This window comes from Homo sapiens, chromosome 6 (genome assembly GCF_000001405.40).
Source record: "Homo sapiens chromosome 6, GRCh38.p14 Primary Assembly".
In the NCBI taxonomy this organism is placed as follows: domain Eukaryota; kingdom Metazoa; phylum Chordata; class Mammalia; order Primates; family Hominidae; genus Homo; species Homo sapiens.
The window spans coordinates 3,047,792-3,051,225 of record NC_000006.12 but is presented as its reverse complement, the minus strand read 5'-3'; the positions used below and the strand labels follow the sequence as shown (position 1 = coordinate 3,051,225).

The 3,434-nt window shown below is 44.9% G+C and overlaps 1 pseudogene, besides 1 other annotated feature; it reads right to left on the bottom strand.

Annotated features, from left to right (window-relative positions):
• Positions 1-140: a silencer, noted in NCBI's record as "fragment chr6:3051320-3051459 (GRCh37/hg19 assembly coordinates)". NCBI's record gives its function as "represses an EF-1alpha promoter that drives an FKBP-Casp9 reporter gene in an ReSE screen in both phorbol 12-myristate 13-acetate-treated (for megakaryocytic differentiation) and untreated K562 erythroleukemia cells {active_cell/tissue: K562 | K562(+PMA)}" and the evidence as "EXISTENCE:reporter gene assay evidence [ECO:0000049][PMID:32094911]".
• SERPINB8P1 (serpin family B member 8 pseudogene 1) lies at positions 1,992-2,388 on the bottom strand (annotated as a pseudogene).

Genomic DNA, 3,434 nt, shown 5'->3' with positions numbered 1-3,434 from the left:
CCTCAGCACCCACCTCACTTCTGGCAGTATTCTGCAGACCCCAGCCCTGTGCCTGTGCTCCTGCACAGCTGGAGATAAGGAGTGGGCCCTGGAAGATGCTCAGTCAGGCCCTGCTCCAGATTTTAGTTTCGCGGATAAGCACCACTATGTGTCTCTGCTCTTTTTGTTTTGCTGTAAAGACACATTGATAGGTTAAAATTGTTGTTTGTGCACAACACGGATCATGTAGCGTCTTCACATTAACCCCTAGTTACACTCTCTAAGTTGTCTATTTTCTTCCCCCAATATTTTTATTGTTATAAAAATACACCGAATATAAAAACCTTAACCAGGCCAGCCGCAGTGGTTCACACCTGTAATCCCAGCACTTTGGGAGGCCAAGACGGGTGGATCACTTGAGGTCAGGAGTTTGAGACCAGCCTAACCAACATGGCGAAACCCCGTCTCTACTAAAAATACAAAAGTTAGCGGCGCATAGTGGCGCCTGCCTGTAGTCCCAGCTACTGGGGAGGCTGAGACAGGAGAATCTCTTGAACTGGGGAGGTGGAGGTTACAGTGAGCCGAGATCACACCACTGCACTCCAGCCTGGGCAACAGAACGAGACTCCATCTCAAACAAACAAGCAAACAAAGAAACAGAAACCTTAACTATTTATCTTTCAAGTTGAGTTCTCCCTGTGTTTTCCAGGCTGGAGTGTAGTGGCTGTTTACAGGCATGATTATAGTACACTGCAGCCTCCAACTCCTGGGCTCAAGTGATCCTCCTGCCTCAAACTCCTGAGTAGCTGGGACTACAGGCATGTGCCACCATGCCACGGTATTAACAATCTAAACAAAAATATGATCATCTCAAAGATACAAAGAAAGCATTTGACAAAATCCTACATCCATTTCTGATAAAAACTCTTAGCAAACTAGAAATAAGAGAACTTTTTCAACTTGATAAAGAGCATCTGTGGAAAACCTATAGCTAATATCATACTTACCGATGACAAAATGCCCTTTGCTGTAGGTTCTACTCAGTGCAGTAAGCCAAGAAAAAGAACAGATTGGAAAGGAAGAAGAAATGTTGTCATTAGTAACAAGAGATATAATTGTCTATGTAGAAAATGCAATGGCATCTACAAAAGGCTACTAAAATAAGTGACTGTAGCAAGTTATCAAGGTTGAAATACAAAAACCAGTTGTATTTCTATATACTAACAACAAATAATCAAATTGAAATCAGTAGACAGTATCATTTATAAACATCCAAAATAATATGTACTTATGTATAAGTCTTACAAAAGATGTAAAATACATATCTATATACTGAAAACTGCAAAACAATACTGAGATAAATTTAAAAAGACTTTAACAAATGGAGAAAGATGCCTTGTTCATGAATTGGGATTGTTTTCACAAAGGACTCCATGAGGGTGGGATATGTAGGTGTCTGTGTGACAGTAAGGGAGGGAGAGTCACTTTATCTCAACTGTCTAGGAGTCTCAACGGCCCTGGGTGGCTGCAGGGTGAACACATCAAGATCTCTGGCTTTGCAATCCAGGGGGCCTGAACACTGGCATTTCCTGGTGAGCATGGCGGCATGGAATTGATGGTGGGGCTGGGGGAGAGCTCTGAAAAGATCCCAGGATACAGGGGCATATCAGGGGCTGGTCCTTGAATCCCCAAGAAGCTCCTGCAGACATCCACAAAGAACAGGCACAGCCTGGGACAGAAACAGGTCGTTCCAGGGTATGCAGGCGAGGGCAGTGCCACTCAGGGCTCCCCAGTGCCCCAAAACCCGCATAGCCTCCTTGGCCCAAACTACACCTATCTCTGCCTCAGCCATTCCCAGCAGCTGTGTTATGCTCAGGCCAGCTGTCCTCAAAGCTGGTGCTCATGCTGCATTTGGCTACTGGAAGTGCTACATTGATTTTTGCCCCACAAGATTTAAATGAGGGCAAAGTAGGCAGAAGGGAGGGGGCGCATGAAGAGCGACTGCACCTCAATGAGAAGAGAGCCCTCCCTAGAATAAAATGCTGCTGGTTTTGTGGTGCCTGATGAAGAAAAGGAAAGAGTGGTCTGTGCAAAATTTTATTCTGTTCTGTTCTGCTGCCCAGGGCACTCCTGACCACTGTGCAGGCCACAGTTACCCTGCGCCTTCCTCCCTGGCCTCTGCAAAGCACATGTGGGTCAGCTGGAACCAGGGCATATTCTTCCTAGTTGACATCCCAGAAAAGTCGGCCTTGGCTTCCAAAAACCACCAGTCATTCCTCAACTTCAAAGAAAAGACTCTAAGCCATAACTCTTTGCCAGCTTCACTCTGGAAAGGAAAAGTTGAACTTCACTTAGTGATCTTTTCTGGATTTGTCCAGGCTCTGAACTTTTCACATGGAAGTGCTTTTTCTACTGGGAGAAACAAAGTCAAATCTGAAAATCCAGGCAATGCCCCCATACCCACCGCACACCCATTACCCACCGCCCCCACCATCATGCAACTAGATGGAGAGCGTGGTCTAAGACGATCCACAGGTATTTTCCTTCCTAGATACCAAGATTTCCCCCAAATTCTCATTCCCTCTCCAACCTATGGACAGCAGTGAAACACCTAGAAAATGCCTGATACAAGCAGAGATTTTAAAAATAGACTCTCTGCCCCAAACTCCTTTCAAATGTTTTTTAATTTCAAAAATTCTCATAACCAGTTGGTTCTATTTATATTCGTGCAATACACATTACCATGAGTCAGGTAAATGGTGTGGCGCAGAGACAAAGATCACAGCTCAGCATTCTGCCTGCCTGAAGAGGAGGCCATCGGGAGTCCTGTTGTGCTTCCCAAGAGGGGACAGCAGGAACAGGGAGTCCAGCAGGATCACTGCTTCTGACACTTTTGTTTGCTCTTGGGGACCAAGCTCACTGCCTGCCCTGGAGGTAGCTCCGAGCTCACTAAGATCCATCACTCAGTCGGGCGTACTGGCTCATGCCTGCAGTTCCAGCACTTTGGGAGGCCAAGGCAGGAGGATCACTAGAGGCCAGGAGTTCAACTAGCCAGGGCAACAAAGCAAGACCCCCATCTCTACAAAGAATATAAAAATTGGCCAGGAGTGGTGGCACACACCTGTAGTCCTAGCTACTTGGGAGGCTGAGGTGGGAGGATCGCTTGAACCCAGGAGTTCAAGGCTGCAGTGAGCTGTGATTGTGCCATTGCACCCCAGCCTGTGCAACAGGGTGACCTCATCTCAAAAAAATAAAAAATTAAAACCTGAAATTAAAACCAGATTACTGAAAAATGGCACAGTTTACCAAAAAAAAAAAAAAAAGAGAGAGATACAACTAACTCCAAAAACTCCTAAGTACAGATAAGAGAGTTATTTCAGTCTCTTTATGCTGATAAATGTAAAATCTTCATTAGTACATCTTTTTTTTTTTTTTTTTTTTTTTTTTTTTTTTTT